Here is a 21,204-nt window from a genome sequence, read left to right on the forward strand (position 1 = left end):
TTTTGTTTGCATGTGTCTGTGTATAATAACTTTGTACATTCTTTTAAACATTTAGCTAAAGAGCCTTTAAAGATGTAGCAATATCAACAAATAGATTAATGATGAAAACTAATGTAAGGTAGTAGTTATGTTCCCTGTGGTCATTTATATTTTGGCAGATATTTTAGTTAATCCTTCATTTATGGCTGGGCGCAGTGGCTCACGCCTCTAATCCCAGCACTTTGGGAGGCCGGGGCAGGCAGATCACGAGTTGAGGAGATCGAGACCATCCTGGCTAACATGGTGGAACTCCATCTTTAGTAAAAATGCAAAAAAATTAGCCAGGCATGGTGGCGGGCGCCTGTAGTCCCAGCTACTCGGGAGGCTGAGGCAGGAGAATGGCCTGACCCGGGAGGCGGAGCTTGTAGTGAGCCAAGATCGCACCACTGCACTCCATCCTGGGTGACAGAGCAAGACTGTTTCAAAAAAAAAAAAAAAATCCTTCATTTATTTTTCCAGATAGTAATATTGAGCACTTCCAGGAACTTTGGAGGGAGAAGGTAGGGAGAGCTGTGTTGGATGGGGCACGGTCAAGGAAGGCCCCTGATAAGGGGGAGATTTCAGCTGGAATCTGATTAAGCTAACCTAAGAAAAGAGCATTCCAGATAGAAGGAGCCATGATTCCAAAAGCTCAAAGGAAAATTGGGAGTATATTTGAGGGATAGAAAACCAACCTGTCTGGATCTTAAAGATTAAGGATGGAGAGGGAGACAGGGCGCAGTTCACATCTCTTAGGTCATGTTAAGGAATGGAAATTTGTTCTAAATGTTATGAAAAGCTATTTGAAGGATTCAAGCAGGGGATGACATGATCAGAAAAATATTCTTATTGTCCTTTTCTAAAGTGAGGTATAGTTTACAGACAGTGAAATACAGATTTTGCGTGTACAGTTGGGTGTTTTTGCAATTGGATATACATACCCATCTAACCTACACTCTTATTAAGATTAGTGGAGCACTGTGGGAGGCCAAGACGGGCAGATCACCTGAGATCGGGAGTTCGAGACCAGCATGACCAACATGGAGAAACCCCGTCTCTACTAAAAATACAAAATTAGCCCGGCGCGGTGGCGCATACTTGTAATCCCAGCTACCCAGGAGGCTGAGGCAGGAGAATCGCTTGAACCCGGGAGGCGGAGGTTGCCGCGAGCTGAGATTGTGCCATTGCACTCCAGCCTGGACAACAAGAGCGAAACTCTGTCTCAAAAAAAAAAAAGTTAGGTGGAGCATTGGTAATCCAAAAATCTGAATCTTAAATGCTCCAAAATCTGAAACTTCTTAAGCACCAACATGATGCCACAGTGGAAAATTTCACACCTGACCTTGTGACTGGTCAGTTAAAACATAGTCAAAACTTTGTGTTATGTTTTGAATTATTTAAAATGTTGTATAAAATTACCTTCAGGCTCTGTGTGTAAGATATTTATGAAGCGTAAATGAATTTCATGTTTAGATTTGGGTTCCTTCCCAAAGATATCTTACTATGTATATGCAAATATTCCAAAATCCAAAACAGTATGAAATCTGAAACAGTTCTGGTCCCAGGCATCTTGGGTAAGGAATACTCAACCTGAATAAAATATTTCTAAGAAAAAAGTCTTCATTCCTCTTCCCAGTCAGTCCCTAACACCAGCACCTCCAACTATGATTCTCATTTCTTTCACTATAGATTAATTTGTCTCTTCTAGAACTTAAGTGGGATAATTTAGCTTGTACTCTTGTGTTTGCCTTCTTTGGCTTGCCATAATGATTTTGAGGTTCATTTCTGTTGTTGCCTGCATCAAGAGTTCATTGAGTATACCACGATTTGTTCGTCCATTCCTCTGGTTTGGACTTTTGAGACATTTTTGAAATGTCATTGGCTAATGGAAAATGGATTGTAGAGTCTTATTCAGATATTTAATAAAGGAACACTGGTTGTCTTGTTTACAAAAGAGAATGTATTTTCTTTTAAGACTGTAGAAAGGACAGGGCCAGGAACTATGAAATCATTATCAGCATCTTAGGAATGCCTGTCTGTATGGAAGCAGATAGAAAATGATTGTACTACTCCCCTTCCCCACCTATTTTTTTTTTTTTTTTTTTTTTTGAGACGAAGTCTCACTCTGTCACCCAGGCTGGAGTGCAGTGGCGCAATCTCGGATCACTGCAACCTCTGCCTCCCGGGTTCAAGCAATTCTCCTGCCCTGAGTAGCTGGGATAACAGTGCATGCCACCATGCCCAGCTAATTTTTTGTATTTTTGGTAGAGACGGGGTTTCACCGTGTTGATGAGGCCGGTCTCGAACTCCTGACCTCGTGATCCACCCGCCTTGGCCTCCCAAAGTGCTGAGATTATAGGCGTGAGCAGCCAGCATGCCCGGCGTCCCCCTCCCCAACTTTAAACCAGATGGGAAGTCTTGAGTGAGAGCCCCAAGTTCAGTGGTTCTGATATTCAAATGATGTGAGGCACATAGAATTATTGAGATGATACCTCATATGATATATGGCAAATCTTTCAAGTGTCTAATTTATCAGATTTTACTCCTTTCTCCTCAAGAATTGGCCACTTTTTTTTTTTTTTTTTTTTGATACGGAGTCTTGCTCTGTCACCAGGCTGGAGTGCAGTGGCACGATCTCGGCTCACTGCAACCTCTGCCTCCTGGGTTCAAGCAGTTCTCCTGACTCAGCCTCCCGAGTAGCTGGGACTACAGGCACTCGCCACCACATCCAGCTAATTTTTGTATTTTTAGTAGAGATGGGGTTTCACCATGTTGTTGGCCACATCTTATATGATGTGTTTGCAAAACACAATGGTAGAGTTCTAGGACTGGCTTCTGGGGTTCTCCATCTTCCCTGACTCGAGAGCTAAGACCTCGAATTTCCAGTGACTGTACATTACATCATCTTTATGGTTTTTATTATACAATTTTCTTTTCAAAATTATTTTTCTCTTGGGTTTTATTTTAAAGTATAAAACATTAAATGTTTTGTTTGGGGCCAGGGGTGGTGGCTTACAAATCTCAGCACTTTGGAAGGCCAAGGCCAGAGGATCTCTTGAGGCCAGGAGTTCAAGACCACTCTGGGCAACATAGTGAGACCCCCGTCTCTTTAAAAAATAAAAAGATTAGCAGGTATGGGCACACACCTGTAGTCCCATCTACTCGGAAGGCTGAGGCAGGAGGATCACTTGAGCCCAGGATTCCAAGGTTGCAGTGAGCTATGCTTGTGCCACTGTACTCCAGTCTGGATGGCAGAGTAAGACTCTGTCTCTAAAAAAATTTTTTTTGGCCAGGCGCGGTGGCTCACACTTGTAATCCCAGCATTTTGGGAGGCCGAGGTGGGCGGATCACAAGGTCAGAGATTCGAGACCAGCCTGGCCAACATAGTGAAATCCCGTCTCTTCTAAAAATAAAAAAATGAGCTGAGAGTGGTGGCACACACCAGTAATCCCAGCTACTCAGACAGTTGAGGCAGGAGAATAGCTTGAACCCAGGAGGCAGAGGTTGCAGTGAGCCAAGATCATGCCATTGCAGTCCAGCCTGGGCGACAAAAGTGAGACTCTGTCTCAAAAAAAAAAAGTTTGGTTTTCTTTTTGGTTTCTAACCTTTGTCAAAAACTCAGACTTGGTTATGTTATTTGAATGGATATGGTATGTTTTAATTGATGGCATTTACTTCTATAAAGCTTTGTTTTCTTGTGTTACTTATGGAAAAAATCATTTATTTTCTATATTTAAATTGAAAGCATTTACTCTTTTTTTGAGATAAAGTTTCTGTCACCCAGGCTGGTGTGCAGTGGCATGATCTCGGCTCACTGCAACCTCTGCCTCCTCACAGGTTCAGGAGATTCTCGTGCCTCAGCCTCCCGAGTAGCTGGGACTATAGGCATGCACTACCATGGCCGGCTAATTTTTGTGTTTTTAGTAGAGATGGGGTTTCACCATGTTGGCCAGGTGGGTTTCAAGCTCCTAACCTCAAGTGATCCACCTGCCTTGGCCTCCCAAAGTGCTGAGATTACAGGCCTGAGCCTCTGCATCTTGCCCACATTTACTTTTTATAATGAGGCTGTTTTAATGAGATAAATTTTTTTTTTTTTTTTTTTTGAGACAGAGTCTTGCTCTGTCACCCAGGCTGGAGTGCAGTGGCGTGATCTCGGCTCACTGCAAGCTCCACCTTCCGGGTTCACGCCATTCTCCTGCCTTAGCCTCCGGAGTAGCTAGGACTACAGGTGCCCGCCACCACGCCCGGCTAATTTTTTGTATTTTTTTTAGTAGAGACGGGGTTTCCCCATGTTAGCCAGGATGGTCTTCATCTCCTGACCTTGTGATCCGCCCACCTCGGCCTCCCAAAGTGCTGGGATTACAGGCGTGAGCCACCATGCCTGACCCGAGATAAAAAGTTTAAATTGGAGAAATGGATGACAGTAGTCTTATTTTAGTCGCAGCGTTACATTTATTTCCGTATTCAGTTTTTGTCTCAGAGTATAGAGAAAATTCTTTCTCACAGTCAAATTGTATATGATAACAGATTTTTTTCCTAGCAGTTCCTAGTACCATCTCAGTATTTTCAATTTCAGCTGATTCAGAAGCTATAGAGGATTAGCTGGACATTTTGTTTCCAAGTTGAATTGACCATATCTAACAACTGCTCATGTTTCCTTTTCATAAAATCTACAAGTCAGACAAGAAGAGTCCAGAAGGTAATGTTATCATTGGTCATTTGTTACACATTCTGTTCACTTATTTATTATATCATCATGAGAGCATGCCTCAGCAGATGTGCCTAGTCTTAGCTAGCTAGCAGTTACTTGCATGTGACATGTGCACATTACACATTATTATTCTTGTGAGACAGAAGCAGACCTGGATTATTTTTAAATGCCCAGTATAGAGCTTAATCCTCTTAAATGTGTTTATAAGAAGCTCAAATATATGCCCACATGCAACAAGAAAAGCTTTATTCTAAAGGCTGCATAAAAAATGAATTATCTTGGCAGCACAAATGAACTCATTGTTGGTTTCTTCCTTTCTGCCCACCCCCTCCCCAAATTCCTCTCTTTTCTCTTCCTAGTCTTCCAGTTTTACACCAAAAGTCAAAGAGAGGGTTTTTTTTTTAAGTCCCTTAAGTGAGGATAAAATAAAAATAACTTTTCTTCAAGGATCCCCAGCCATTTTAGTGGGAGCCACCGTTATTCTTGAGATTACTTGGAAGGTAGGATAAGAATATACAGATTATGAAGTCTGTAGAATGGATAAGTGAGGATGATGCTGGAGGGGGACTCATCTTTGTAGATAATCTCCTATGACTCTTGGCAAACTGTGGAAGACAGGTGCCTGATGAGGAAGTAGTATGGTACAAGGACAAGTTTAGGTATCTGCTGGGCTATATCCACCTCTGATTCTAGGTTCATGTGTAATTAGGTGTTTTTAGATTCCTATCTGCATTAAGGAAGAATAAATTAAGTTTATTTTTTTTTAAAGTTGTCTTTTTTATGTAACAGCCCAAGATTTTCTGAGGCTGTCTAAAATTAATTGCAGACCAAATGGAGAAGGCTGAAGAAACAAGACCTTACTTTTACTTTTTAAAAGCTTTAAACAGCTGGGCGCAGTGGCTCATGCCTGTAATCCCAGCACTTTGGGAGGCCAAGGCGGGCGGATCACGAGGTCAGGAGATTGAGACCATCCTGGCTAACACAGTAAAACCCCGTCTCCACAAAAATACAAAAAAAAAATCAGCCGGGCGTGGTGGAGGGCACCTGTAGTCCCAGCTACTCGGGAGGCTGAGGCAGGAGAATGGCGTGAACCCGGGAGGTGGAGCTTGCAGTGAGCTGAGATCGCGCCACTGCACTCCAGCCTGGGAGACAGCGAGACTCTGTCTCAAAAAAAAAAAAAAAAAAGCTTTAAACATAAAACATAATAGTTGGGTTCTGGGCCTGTCCAAAAATAGTCATTTATATTCTGAATTGTAGCAGGTAACGGATGAATATGAACAAACATTAAATGGCTTGATTCATGATGTTTATAAATTCTGGGGGTTTTAGAATATTTTTAAGATTAGTGATATAACAGCAGATAACAGCTGTAGGAAAAGTGTTCTCTCAGATGTGGGACTTCCATATGTAACATTACATAATGAGCCACTCTCCTAGCTGAGTCAAGTGAGTCTGTTTCTGAGATGAGTGAAAGAACTGGACTAAGAGCTGAGGGACTTTTAAATAGTGTGTTTTTTTTTTTTCTTTGTTTTTTGAGATGGAGTCTTGCTTTGTCACCCAGGCTGGAGTGCAATGGCATGATCTCGGCTCACTGCAGCCTCCATTTCCCGGGTTCAAGCGATTCTCCTGCCTCAGCCTCCTGAGTAGCTGGGATTACAGGCTCACATGACCACGTCTGGCTAATTTTTGTATTTTTAGTAGAGATGGATTTTCACCATGTTGGCTAGGCTGGTCTCGAACTCCTGACCTCATGATCCGCCTACCTTGCCCTCCCAAAGTGCTGGGATTACAGGCATGAGCCACTGCACCCGGCCTAAATTGTTATTTTTGTTTTAACTTTGAGTGAATACAAAATGAGTATTTTTGAGTTAGCATTTTATGTTCTTTTATTTTATTTTATTTTATTTTATTTTATTTTATTTTTTGAGACAGAGTCTCACCCTGTCTCCCAGGCTGGAGTGCAGTGGTACAATCTCGGCTCACTGCAACCTGCCTTCTGGGTTCAAGCGATTCTCATGCCTCAGCGTCCTGAGTAGCTGGGATTACTGGCATGAGCCACCATGCCCAGCTAATTTTTTTGTATTTTTAGTAGAGACGAGGTTTCACCATGTTGGCCAGCCTGGTCTTGAACTCCTGACCTCAGGTGATCCACCTGCCTGAGCCTCCTAGAGTGGTGGGATTACAGGCGTGAGTTACCGCAGCCAGCCTAATTTTATTTTAAAACATGTTGTTACCTCAGTAATTCTGCCTCTGGCTAGGGAATCTTCCTTAGTGGTAGAACAGAGATTTGGAAATCAGAGAGCTATTCTGGTCTCTTTCATAGATTAACACTGTAAGGGATAATCTAACCACCCTGGACCTGTTTCCTTATCTTAATCAATAGATCCAGGCTGCGAAGAAAGGGAGCCACCAGCCACAAGTAGTTATTGAGCCTTAGGATTGTGGCTAATACTAATACAAATTTTTTTTTTTTTTCGAGAGAGTTTTGCTCTTGTTGCCCAGGCCGGAGTGCAGTGGTGTGATCTTGGCTCGCTGCAACCTCTGCCTCCTGGATTCAAGTGATTCTCCTGCCTTAGCCTCACAAGTAGCTGGGATTACAGGAGCCCGCCACCAGGCCCAGCTAATTTTTGTATTTTTAGTGGAGACGGGGTTTCACCATGTTGGCCAGGCTGGTCTGGAACCCCTGACCTCTAATGATCTGCCTGCCTCAGCCTCCTAATGTGCTGGGATTACAGGCGTGAGCCACCTTGCCTGTACATGGCCTGTACAGGCCGCTAATACAAATTAAGATGTCCTGTAAGTGTAAAATACACACCAGATTTTAAAAACTTGGTAAAAATATAACGTAAAATCTAATTGCTGATTTATTTATATCAATTACATTGTTGGGGTGATAATATTTTAGATATATTGGTTAGGTAAAATATATTGTTAAAATTGGTTTCACCCATTTCACTTCCCTTTTTCAAACGTGGCTGTGGCTGGGCACGGTGGCTCACACCTGTAATCCCAGAACTTTGGGAGGCCAAGGCAGGTGGATCATGAGGTCAGGAGTTTGAGACTAGCCTGGCCAACAAGGTGAAACCTTGTCTATACAGAAATTACAGAAATGAGCTGGGTGTGGTGGTGCATGCCTGTAATCTTAGCTACTCAGGAGGCTGAGGCAGGAGAATTGCTTGAACCCGGGAGGCGGAGGCTGCAGTGAGCCGAGATTGCACCACTGCACTCCAGCCTGGGCAATAGAGTGAGACTCCGTCTCAATCAATCAATCAATCAATAAGAAACCTGGCAGCTAGAAAATTTAAATTCTGTACGTGGCTCATGTTATATTTTTATTGGACAGCACTGGTCTGGATGATATTTCTGAAACTGACTCATGAAATATGTATCATTGCTTAATGAAGCACTTTGGAAGAGGAGCACTGTCCAATAAACTCGTGCAGTGATGTGAATGTTTCGTATCTACACTGAACAATGTAGTTGCTACTAGCTACGGTGACTCTCGAGCACTAATTTTTTTGAGACGGAGTATTGCTCTGTCGCCCACACTGGCGTGCAGTGGCACGATCTCGGCTCACTGCAACCGCTGCCTCCCGGGTTCAAGCAATTCTCCTGCCTCAGCTCCTGAGTAGCTGGGACTGCAGGTGCCCACCATTATGCCCAGCTAATTTTTGTAGTTTTAGTAGAGATGGGGTTTCACCATACTGGCCAGGCTGGTCTCGAACTCCTGACCTCGTGATCCATCCACCTTTGCTTCCCAAAGTGCTGGGATTACAGGCATGAGCGACCACACCCGGCCCATAATTTTAAATTTTTTTAAATTTTAATTTAAACAGCCACATAAGGCTAGTGGTTAATGTACTGAGACAGTAAAGGTCTAGAGGATTTATGGGATTTTTTTTTTTTTTTTGAGATGGAGTCTCGCTCTGTCTCCCAGGCTGGAGTGCAGTGGCGCGATCTCAGCTCACTGCAAGCTCTGCCTCCTGGGTTCACGCCATTTTCCTGCCTCAATCTCCCGAGTAGCTGGGACTACAGGTGCCTGCCACCATGCCCGTCTTTTTTTTTTGTATTTTTAGTAGAGACGGGTTTTCACCGTGTTATCCAGGATGGTCTCAATCTCCTGACCTCGTGATCCGCCCACCTCGGCCTCCCAAAGTGCTGGGATTACAGGCGTGAGCCACCGTGCCCGGCCGGGATTTTTTTTTTAATGGGATTGTTTTATTCAAAGACTTGTGTATGTGGGGCTTGTTTACCGTATTGCAGACTTGTTAATTAGTTTAATATAAGTCTATAGATTTGTGTTTATTGTAATAATGATCAGTAATAGTGATACCTGCTAAGTACCAGAGAAAGGATCTGTATAATCAATTATTTATTGAGCCTTTAACTATGTTGCTTATATTTTCTAATATGCTGAATGCTTAGTGAATTCTAAGACACTGTGTGGGCTAACCATGTTTTCATCAAAGTCTGGTTCCTTTCCTTTCCTTATGAGGGCTCTTCCATGAAAGCCAGGCTCCTTTTGAAAAGTCTGAACAATGTGCTACTTTGTTCAAGGATTTTTCTCTTGAAAGGGAAACCCATGCTTGTTAACAGATGATTATGATTTCTTTTTTTTTTTTGGTGGAAACTTTTAAACTTAGGCTTTTGGCCTTAAAAGAAATATGTATATGTGTGTATATACACATACCCACAGACTTGCAAGTACCAGTATTAATGTAATATTTATTTATTTATTTTGTTTGTACACATATATTTGTAAGTACTGGTATGCAGTGTTACTACAACCCAACTATTTAACTGAATAATTAAAAATTATTAATTTATCATTGCTTCACAGTGAAGAACTGAATGTCATCATGTCTGGAATCAAGCGAACCATCAAAGAAACCGACCCTGATTACGAGGATGTATCTGTGGCCCTTCCAAATAAGCGGCATAAAGCAATTGAGAATTCAGGTAGAAATCCTGCCTTAGGAAATTATTTCTTTATTGACATATGCCTCCGCTAGAAAACTTACAGGAACTAGAATGAAATGAATTTCCACTGTTATGTATAATTTGAAGGGGTTCGTGAGAGAGATTAGCTAAGGGATCTGTTTAATAGTAATACACCATGTGTGCTGTAAAAAGTGGAAGAAGATCTGGCAGGAACATGATCAAGCAGACAGTGAAAGCGAGACAAACTGTGAGTTTTAGCGATCACTGTATGTTAGGTGTAATCATAAAGTCTATGATATGTATAAAGGTGTGCTATAATCGTGAGATGGTCATAGATGGTACATGGATTAAGGTTTTTAATTTTAATAGGTAACATTTTAATGTATATAGAAAAAAGAATGATCTCATCAAACTTGTAGTTCCATAGCTACAAGGATAAAGCTAAAATTATTTTTAAATGCTTGTTAATTAAATGTGTCATATGGTTCTCAGATGTGGTAGCTATCTTGAAGGCATATGAATGGTAGAAGATTAGGAAACATCGATCTAGTTCAACCCTTGTACTTAGCTAATAGTAGATAAATTAAGGTTCAGAGACATCAGATTACTTACCTAACATATATAAGTAGTTGAAGAGCAAATCATCAACTGGGTGTCTGTTGTTCCTCAGAATGTCTTAAGCAAGCTTAAAAAAATTGCTAACTTTACTTTTTTATTTATTTATTTATTTTTTGAGACAGAGTCTTGCTCTGTCCCCCAGGCTGGAGTGCAGTGGCGTGATCTCGGCTCACTGCAAGCTCTGCTTCCCCGGTTCGCGCCATTCTCCTGCGTCAGCCTCCCGAGTAGCTGGGACTACAGGCACCCGCCACCACGCCTTGCTAATATTTTGTATTTTTAGTAGAGACGGGGTTTCACCGTGTTAGCCAGGATGGTCTCCATCTCCTGACCTCGTGATCCACCCGCCTCGGCGTCCCAAAGTGCTGGGATTACAGACGTGAGCCACCGCGCCCGGCAACACTAAATTTACATTATTAAAACAAATTATTACTGAACTTCATTAATGTTTATTTAAATAATCTACCTAAGTTAATACTTTTAACAGGGTAAAGAAGGCGTCAGTCATAGCTCAGATGTTGCAGTTCCACATAGGATCCGTAGAGTGGAAATGGTGAAGAAAATTCCTATTTCTGTAAGAGCAGTGAAGTCCTACGTATCCCCAGAAAATCTGTATAGAAGGAAAATTGTTAAATCCAATCCCAAATAGTGAAAACATTTTGCTGCAACTTTCCCTCCTCATTCAGCTGTAATTTTAGAGGAAATACCGTTTCCTTTCAATTACAAGCCAAATAAATGTTAGAGTGTTATGTAACTTAATTCATTACCCAAGAGCTTCACATGGCATAACTTTTTAAAATAAAAACAAGAACAGGGAAAAGTGATTGTTTTAATAACACTGAAACTCAGTTTAAATTGAATGTAAGTTCCAAAATACCCCCTTTCAAGCAGGGGCAGTTTTTTGTTTGTTACTGAGTGACAATCTGCTATTCTTTTTCTTGGTGTCCATGCTCTACCTAATGCTAACCTTTCTCCCCCCACCAGAATTTTTCTCAAAGTAGATTTGGTGGGATGCTTCTCTTTGCATATGTTATTTTGTTTTGTTTGTGTCTTTTTTTTTTTTCGCTCTGTCACCCGGGCTGGAGTGCGGTGGCACGATCTCGGCTCACTGCCACCTCTGCCTCCCAAGTTCAAGCGATTCTCCTGCCTCAGCCTCCCAAGTAGCTGGGATTACAGGTACCCCCCACTACGCCCAGCTAGTTTTTGTATTTTTGGTAGAGACGGGGTTTCACCATGTTGTCCAGGCTGGTCTCAAACTCCTGACCTCAGGTAATCCACCTGTCTGGGCCTCCTAGAGTGCTGGGATTACGGGTGCGAGCCACCATGCCTGGCCCCCAGTGTTGTATTTTATAGCTATTTCCCTCCCCGCAGGATCCAGTCCAGGACATACAGGGCATTTAGCTGTCATATCTCTTTAGTCTCTCTCAGTCTCCTCAACCCTTTCCTTGTCTTTCTTTCTTGTCTTTAATATTTAAATAGAATAGGCCAATAATTTTATAGAATGTCTTTCAGTTTGAGTTTGTCTAATCTTTCCTTGTGAGTAGATTCAGCATTTTTGACAGGAATACCATAGAATGGTGTCTTTTTAGGGCATGATACTAGAAAGTACACGAGATCACTTTACACCAATATTAGTGGTTTCAGTTTTTCATCACTTGGTTAAGGTGATGTCCACTAGGTTTCTCCACTTTAGAGTTACTATTTCTTGGATTTCTTTTGTTGCTTGCTGACTTAAATAAAGACAGTCACTGATTAATTAGGCCTTGGATGTATTTTATGTTCTTTGTACAGCTCGAGATGCTGCTGTGCAGAAGATTGAGACTATTATCAAAGAACAGTTTGCTCTTGAAATGAAGAATAAGGAACATGAAATTGAAGTCATTGACCAGGTATAATGATGATAAATTGAAATAAACACCAAAGCTATTGAAAAAAATGTATACATGATTGAAAAATAATCTATTGAGATGGAGTCACAGTTTGCTTTATCCTCCTCTTTGCTTTTTTTTTTTTTTTTTTAAATAGCTTTCATGTTTTGGGGAGAGAAAATGCTATTTTTTAAATAGTGCAATTGCAGAAAGGATTGAAGAAATATTACCTGGAATTCCATTCAAAAAGATAATCTTCTGATAGCACAGCAGGGTGACTACAGTCAACAATAATTTATTGTACATTTAAAAATAATTAAAAGAGTAAAATTGGATTGTTTGTAACATAGAGAAAGGATAAATGCTTGAGGTAATGAGTATCCCATTTACCCGGATGTGATTATTATGCATTGTATGCCTCTATCAGAATATCTTACGTGTCCCATAAACATGTGCACTGTGTACCCACAACAGTTAAAAAGTGTTTTTAAAAAAGATAATCCCTCTTTGCTCTTGTGTTCAGTGTCTTTGTGGATTTTTCTCAGTGAATATACACATAAATGTACATATTCATTGCAACACTTTTGTCTTTCTCTTAAATCTTTGCGAATCTGATGGGTGGAAAAGGTCACTTTTATTTGTTTTTCTTTTGATTGTTAGAGAAGTTGAGCTTTTTTTTTTCACTCATTCACGTTTCTTATTTTGTGAATTGTTTGTACATCTCTTTTATAATTGCCGTTTTTTAAAGTAATGAGTTAACATTTGTTTTTAGCGACTGATTGAAGCAAGAAGGATGATGGATAAACTGCGTGCCTGCATTGTAGCAAACTACTATGCTTCTGCAGGTCTTCTAAAAGTTTCTGAGGTAAGCATTCCTCATACCCAGTCATTTTCCAGCCACTCATATTTGTTGTCTGAGGGGAAGTTATGTCAATATGGAATCCCTGCATCTGAAACATTTCTTTCTGTTTGTTTTTTGGTTTTTTTTTGAGACGGAGTCTCGCTGTGTCACCCAGGCTGGAGTGCAGTGGCACTTGGCTCACTGCAACCTCTGCCTCCCAAGTTCAGGCGATTCTCCTGCCTCAGCCTCCTGAGTAGCTGGGATTACAGGCGTGTGCCACCATGCCCAGCTCATTTTTGTATTTTTAGTAGAGACGAGGTTTCACCATTTTGACCAGTCTGTTCTTGAACTCCTGACCTCAGGTGATCCACCCACCTTGGCCTCCCCAAGTGCTGGGATTACAAGCATGAGCCACCATGCCTGGCCTAAAATACTTCTTACATTGACCTTCAGAATCCAAGAAGCCTAGCCTACTTCCTGGGAATATACATAGACTATACATAGACTTATCAGTCATTGTGTTCAACCATAGTCCTTCAGTTGTGACTTTCCGCATTGTCAATAATCCTAAGTAATATTTTTTCCTTTTTTTTTTTTTTGTTTGTTTTTTTGAGACAGAGTTTCGCTCTTGTTGCCCAGGCTAGAGTGCAGTGGCCTCCCAGGTTCAAGTGATTCTTCTGCCTCAGCCTCCCAAGTAGCTGGGATTACAGGCATGCGCCACCATGCCTGGCTAATTTTTTTGTACTTTACTAGAGACGGGGTTTCTCCATGTTGGTCAGGCTGGTCTTGAACTCCCAACTTCATGTGATCTGCCTGCCTTGGCCTCCCAAAGTGCTGGGATTACAGGCGTGAGCCACCGGGCCCAGCCTTTCATTTTTACGTAATTCTTTTCCTCCTAATTGTTAGCATTATGCTAGGCTTTGCAGATACAAAGATGATTGAGACCTCATTGAACTGGCCCTAGTGCCTCACTTGATTGTGGCCCACTTTGGAGTAATTTATAAATTGATTGAGTTTTCTTTGACCTTTTAGTCTAGTGAATGGCAATTTTTAGTTTCAGATTTACCCTGTTTAATGAGCCCTGAGTTCTACTTTTTGTTTTCTTTCTTTTTTTTTTAAAAGAGACATGGTATGTGGCCAGGCTGGAATGCAGTGGCTATTCACAAGCACGATCATAGCTTCACTTATAGCCTCCAACTCCACATAGCCTCCACCTTCACATAGCCTCCAACTCCTGGGCTCAAGCAGTCTTCCTGCCTCAGCCTCCTGAGTAGCTAGGACTGCAGCTTTGTTTCTCTAGTTTTTTAAGATTTAAAATGGTCCTCCTACCTTTTTCCCTCCATGATCCTGACTTTTCGGAGAAACCAGGCCATTTATGAATATCTCACATTTTGGATTTATGTTTTCCTTGGATTACTTTTTCATCCTGTTTTCTTGTAAACTGGAAGTTAAGTCTAAAGGCTTGGTTATTATATATATTATATATAGATTTGGGTTAAATATTTCTGGCAAGAATACTTCGTAGTGATGCTGTGTACTTGATATTCTAGCATATCAGCAGGCACCTAGTTCCAGGTTGTCCTGCTGGTGATACTAAGTTTGACCACTTGGTTAATGTGATCACCACTAGATTATTCCAATTATAAAGGAATGTTTTTTCCCAATTTAGTTTTTGACATGTAAATGAAAAATATCTGCTCTTTTATCCTAGTAATCTGTCTAAATTCAGGCATAGGGGTTAGGATTGACCTGAAATAGGAGTATTTCTTCCTATTTGATATTTTGATAATTTCAGCATAACTTTCGTTTTTTTCTCTTTTTACTTTCTTTTTCCTAAGTGTTTTCAGCTGGAATTAGTCTCAGCTGAATCACCTCTGGAGCAGTGCTGGCTCACTGGGAACCAGGGAAGGGCTGGAGGGTAACAGTAAATGGTGCTTGTCATGTTTAGGCCTTCATGTTACCCTTGGTGCTCTAGGGACACCTGGTATTGGTGCTGCTCCTGATGCTGTCTTATAGAAACTAGAGCATTATTTGAGTTGAATTTTAAACGGTAGACAGGTGCTTCTTTTAGTGTGGCACAGTTTCCCAGATGCATGTTAGAATCGTATTCATTTTCCTAGGGCTACCATAACAAATTACCTACCATAAGCTTCGTGATGTAAAAGGACGGGTTTATTATCTCACTATTATGAAGTCTAGAAGTCCAAAATCAAGGTGTCAACAGGGCAGTGCTCCCTCCTAAGGCTCCGGGGAAGAATCTTTCCTTGCCTCTTCCTAGCTTCTTGAGGTTGCTGCCAATCCTTAGTATTTCCCGGCTGTAATTTCTGCCTGTCAATGATGTGGCTGTTTTCCCTCTGTGTGTGTCTTCTCTGTGTGTCTGTGTCCAAGTTTCCCTCTTCTTATAAGCGAGGAGGACTTCATTGACTTCACCTTAACTTGATTACATGAGCAATGATTCTGTCTTTGAATTGTTAGCAGTTCTGATCTGTGCTATTTGATAGTCTGGAAATATGCTGATTTTATCCTCTTATGTTTTGATTAGGATTTATTCAGGGATATTTAGGTATGCTTTTGTCTCGTGATCAACCATTTAATTATTTTTAGTTTTCAGTGGCAAAACATTTATAGCTCTGAAAAACCTTTATTATTGAAATTCAAGAACTTTGTTGCTTTGAAAGACTAGCTTCTACCTCCTTTTTTCTCTCTAGAACCATTAGTTTAATAACACAGTTTTTAAAAGCTAGGCTTCCTAGGAACATAACTACAGTGTTATCACATAATAACAGAATACACTGTATTTTGTATGCAAGTAACTAAGACACAGAAAAATTCCATAGATGTCTATACTGAACTGAAGGCAAACTTAATACAATCAGTATTAGTCATTCAAAAATATTCTCTATTACATTTTACTCTTATGTGGGGACCATTTTATATATACAGCTTTTTATTTGTATTTTTATATTTCTTTCAGGGATATTTTATTTAGAGCAGTTGATATGTTTGTGTAAAGCAATGTGAGACTTTTAAAGTCAGATTTTATTTTCTGTGTTAACATATATTATTTCTCATTTACCTCCGGAAGACCCTACATCTCTAGCTGTTAGTGTTAGAAACTTTACATAATTATTCATCATTCTAGTTTTTGTTTGGTTGGTTCAGGCTGTGCTAAGGGGTTGGGATATCATTTTATGGATGTGGGGAGATTTTGAAAGATTTTAAGCATGATCCTGTAATAGATAAGGTTTTGGAGAGATCAGATTTTTGCCTGCTTTTGATGGATTTGATTAAAAATTTATTTGCTTGCTTTCATTTTTTGTAGGGATCAAAGACATGTGATACAATGGTTTTTAATCATCCTGCTATCAAGAAATTTTTGGAATCACCATCTAGGTCATCATCTCCTGCCAATCAGAGAGCAGAAACACCATCAGCCAATCATTCAGAAAGTGATTCTTTATCTCAGCACAATGACTTCTTATCTGACAAAGATAATAACAGCAATATGGATATAGAGGAAAGACTCTCAAACAACATGGAGCAGAGACCAAGCCGAAATACTGGAAGGGTATATAGATGGGTGGATGTGGGAGGGAGCCACAGGAGAAGGGAACTATATTTACTAAAGTATGCGCTTGTTATCTCACTGAACTGTCACAGGAATCTTAGGAAATAGGTTTGTTTTCCTTTTATAATGGGGAAACCAAATCTTTTTTTTTTTTTTTTTTTTTTTTTTTTGAGACAGAGTTTTGCTCTGTTGCCCAGGCTGGAGTGCAGTGGCAGGATCATGGCTCACTGCAACCTCCGCCTCCCGGGTTCACGCCATTCTCCTGCTTCAGCCTCCTGAGTAGCTGAGACCACAGGTGTGTGCCACCACGCCCGGCTAATTTTTTTATATTTTTAGTAGAGACGGGATTTCACCGTGTTAGCCAGGATGGTCTCGATCTCCTGACCTCGTGATCTTCCCGCCTCGGCCTCCCAAAGTGCTGGGATTATAGGCGTGAGCCACTGCGCCCAGCGGGAAACCAAATCTTGATTTGGTTTTACTTGCCCAAAAGTGTCAGAACTGCGAATTAAACCTAAGTGTTTCTTTTTTTTTTCTGAGACGGAGTCTCGCTTTATCACCCAGGCTGGAGTGCAGTGGCGCAATCTCGGCTCATTGCCACCTCTGTCTCCCAGGTTCAAGCTATTTTCCTGTCTCAGCCTCCCAAGTAGCTGGGATTAGAGGCATGTGCTACCACGCCTGGCTAATTTTTTGTATTTTTAGTAGAGACGAGGTTTCACCCTGTTGGCCAGACTGGTCTCGAACTCCTGACTTCATGATCTGCCTGCCTCGGCCTCTCAAAGTGCTGGGATTACAGGCGTGAGCCACCGCGCCCGACTTAAACCTGAGTGTTTCTAATTTTACAGCCTGGAGATTCTGTGCACAGCACAGCTCCTGGATGCTGTTTACGTAGGTGTGAAAGAAACCTTCTAGCTCGGCAATTCCGTGATCTTGCTCAAGGTCTTTCAACTCTGTCGTGTTTATTCTCTCGAGAGCAGCCGTTCTTCAACGGTTTCCTCTGTGAGACTTTATATTCTAAGATGCTTTAGTACTTTAGTAGATGGAGGAAATTTGACAAATAAACAGAATTGAAAAACATTGCTCTTTGATCATGCCAGTTTGTAATTTGAGCTCCCATCTCAAGCTACTCTGAACTTCTTGAAAAATATTTGGCTATAGAGTCATTATTGGATTAGAGCAGCGATTTTTCTCAGCCAGGTGTTGACTGTGATACAGAAAATTTCCAAGTTACTTTCCACATACTTAGATGTCAAGGGTTTGATTTATTTTTGATAAAAATATGTTTGTATTTATTTTTCAGATTATAAATTCATATGTGTTCATTTTTTGAAAATTGTTAAATACAGAAAAGTAAAAAAGAATAGAAAAGTTCATTCGTGAGGCTGCCACCCCCAAAATCAGAACTCTTCACTGTTTGGATTTACCTTACCTTTCCAGTATTATTCCTGAGCAAATATTACATGTGTTTTTCTTTTTTTTAGTTAAAAAGAATTTAGGAGGCTGGGCGTGGTGGCTCACGCCTGTAATCCCAGCACTTTGGGAGCCCAAGTGGGGGATCACCAGAGGTCAGGAGTTTGAGACCAGCCTGACTAACATGGTGAAACTCCATTTCTACTAAAAATACAAAAATTACCTGGGCTTAGTGGCGGGTACCTGTAATCCCATCTACTCGAGAGGCTGAGGCAGGAGAATCGCTTGAACCCAGGAGGCGGAGATTGCAATGAGCCGAGATCGTGCCATTGCATTCCAGCCTGGTTGACAGAGCGAGATTCTGTCTCAAAAAATAGAATTTAGGGCATAATGGTCATAGAAACTTAACATGTTTTATACAATATGTGATCATTTCTATATGTATTTATATAGCAAACATTTAGCATTTACTATGTACCAGGCACTTATTTCTCATTGAACAGTTTTGAATATTATAAAAGGTTAAAAAGAGGGTAAATTCCATTGACCCCTTTCTCTCTTTCTATTCCTGTTTCCCAGAAGTAACCACTGTAATAGTTTTTTGTGTATCCTTCCAAATCCTATTTGCATATTCAAAGCAGATGTATGTGACTATTAAAAACACACCGGGAGTTACAGTATATAAACTTTGTATAAATTAAGGCAGCATTTATAGTAACTTTTTTAATGCTTTGAGAGGTGCTACAAAGCCAGAAAATTTTGTAATTTTTTAAAAAAACTTAGTTATTCCATTTATACTTTTTACAATTTTGTGGTTTCTGTCCTATTGAAAGTTGTTCAAAATGAGAATGGATGTTGATTATGATTTTTTTCAGGATACTTCTAGAATTACTGGCTCCCATAAAACAGAACAGCGGAATGCTGATCTCACAGATGAGACTTCACGACTTTTTGTAAAGAAAACAATAGTAGTGGGCAATGTGTCCAAGTGAGTATCCAGTTGAATTTATTTTTATTTGTCCATTTGTGTTAATATTTTGGCATTAATACTCTTACAGTGTTACAGTAGGAAGCAGCCTCAGGGATTCTTTTTCCCAAGCCCTTAGTTGTTTAAAAAGTAAACCACAGTCTAGAGACTTTATTAGGGTAATTTTGCTCCTTAGTGAGCAAAGTCAGAATTTGAATCTAGGTCTCCTATTTTTCTTTTCCTTTTTTTGAGACAGAGTTTCGCTCTTGTTGTCCAGACCAGAATGCAATGGCATGATCTTGGTTCACCGCAACCTCCCCCCGCCCGGGTTCAAGCGATTCTCCTGCCTTAGCCTACCGAGTAGCTGGGATTGCAGGCATATGCCACCACGCCTGGCTAATTTTGTATTTTTAGTAGAGACGGGGTTTCTCCATGTTGGTCAGGCTGGTCTTGAACTCCCGACCTCAGGTGATCCATCCACCTTGGCCTCTCAAAGTGCTGGAATTACAGGTGTGAGCCACCGTGCCGGCCTTTTTTTTTTTTTTTTTTTTTTTATCGTTTTATTAGTCTTTTTATACAAATAGCCAGGGGACCTAGGTATCCTATTTTTCATTTGGATATTATTTTCTCTGTACTGCCTCTATACTGTGACATTTTGCCTTGCCTTGCACAGTATCCACAAAGGATAAATAAGGGGAAGATGTTTGTTCCAAAATATTGCTAGAGAAGAGGCAGTATAATAACCCCTACCCTTGCTTGTGCAGTTTGTAGAATATGCTAATTGTTAGGTATTTGAAAGCCAGTAGAGAATGGTAAATCCTCAGATACTGCCCTCAGCTCGAATGTTCAAATCTTCATTTTGTCTCTCCATTTACATTCCTGCATTTGCCATTGTATTAGTCTGTTTTCACACTGCTAATATAGACATACTCGAGACTGGGTAATTTATAAAGGAAAGAGGTTTGATTGACTCACAGTGCCACATGGCTAGGGAGGCCTCACAATCCTGGCGGAAGGCAAGGGAGAAACAAAGCCATGTCTTAAGTGGAGGCAGGCAAGAGAGCTTGTGTAGGAGAACTACCCCTTATAAAACTGTCAGATCTTATGAGACTGATTTATTATCACGAGAACAGCATGGGAAAGACTCACCCCCATGATTCAATTACCTCCCACTGCGTCCCTTCCAGGACGTGTGGGAATTCTGCAAGCTACAATTGAAGATGAGATTTGGGTGGGGACACAGCCAAACCATATCGGCCATTTACTTGTGATTGGCACGTCCAAAGCTGAAACCAGATTCTTCTCCCTGGAAAACCTATTTCCTGTTCTTTTCTTCTGTTTTGAAATGGGAGGATGTAAGTGTGATGGGTTCCTTTGACTTTTTGTTCTTCTTCAAAATCTTACTTCAGGTCTTTTTCTGGGACTCTAAGGCAAACCAGAGAGGTTTGTATCTAACAAGTCATTGGGACATGAGAATAAAGTAGATAAGTCTTTTCGGTCACCCATTTGTGTTAATACTTGGGCGTAATACTCTTATTATCCTGGTGTTACAGTAGGAGGAGGCCTCAGGGAATGTTTTTTCAAGCTCTTTGTTGCTTCAAAAGTGAACCAAGGTCCAGAGATTGGAGTCTCTGCGTTAGTGTGTCTGTCAGTCTTTCCCTGAGAATAAAATAGGGCTTGGTAAAAATTTCTAAGACATGAGCTCTTACACAAATATATTTCACCAATTGTGTCAATGTGTGTAAGTTTGGAAGAACTTTTGACTACTCTGAACCAGTTCTGTCTTTAGGGGCCTTAGCGAATTCCTAAAAATGTTGATTTGGTTGCCCAAACTGAGATGTTTTTAGTTTGTAACAAAAGGTTGCTGAGCAGATCTTAAAGGCAGAATTCCTCCAAGCTCCAGAGCCATGTACTTGAACAGTATGATCTCAGGCTGTCTTGGAGCAGCTTCATCATTTTTGCCAAGTGTCTAGGGGTAGATTAGGACGTTATAAATCCTCTAAAAACATAAAAATGTTAAGTAAATATTTGGCCAAGATGTAAATAGATGGAAGGGATTAAATTAATTTGATGGAGGAAAATTGATTGGCTAGGATTCTAACTGGTAGTGTTTTAAACTAATTTTCTCATGAAGTTTTATTTGCTGATCCCCTCCCTCATTAGGCATATTCCCTCTATGCTATCTCTTTGTGATTTTTATCATATTATGTGGCCATTTTCTATTTTCGTATATTTTTCTCAAATCAGACTGGAATCTCTTGAGGGTAG

The 21,204-nt window shown here is 40.7% G+C and overlaps 1 protein-coding gene across 22 annotated transcripts in view; it reads left to right on the plus strand.

Moving 5' to 3' along the window:
- YEATS2 (YEATS domain containing 2) overlaps positions 1 to 21,204 on the plus strand; it is a 114,828-nt gene that overhangs the window by 7,778 nt on the left and 85,846 nt on the right. For 15 of the 22 annotated variants that reach the window (NM_001351370.2, NM_018023.5, XM_011512965.2 and 12 more), the window contains exons 2-6: positions 9,570 to 9,688; positions 12,077 to 12,174; positions 12,926 to 13,018; positions 16,317 to 16,562; positions 18,845 to 18,957. In NM_001351370.2, the coding sequence (NP_001338299.1) occupies positions 9,589 to 9,688; positions 12,077 to 12,174; positions 12,926 to 13,018; positions 16,317 to 16,562; positions 18,845 to 18,957 (650 nt within the window). In that variant the 5' untranslated portion in view covers positions 9,570 to 9,588. Of the gene's footprint in view, positions 1 to 4,664; positions 4,718 to 9,569; positions 9,689 to 10,772; positions 10,860 to 12,076; positions 12,175 to 12,925; positions 13,019 to 16,316; positions 16,563 to 18,844; positions 18,958 to 21,204 lie in introns of those variants that run through there. The other 7 variants (NM_001351369.2, XM_047448533.1, XM_047448537.1 and 4 more) reach the window with 3 other exon arrangements.

The sequence above is a fragment of the Homo sapiens genome, chromosome 3, assembly GCF_000001405.40.
Source record: "Homo sapiens chromosome 3, GRCh38.p14 Primary Assembly".
In the NCBI taxonomy this organism is placed as follows: Eukaryota; Metazoa; Chordata; class Mammalia; order Primates; family Hominidae; genus Homo; species Homo sapiens.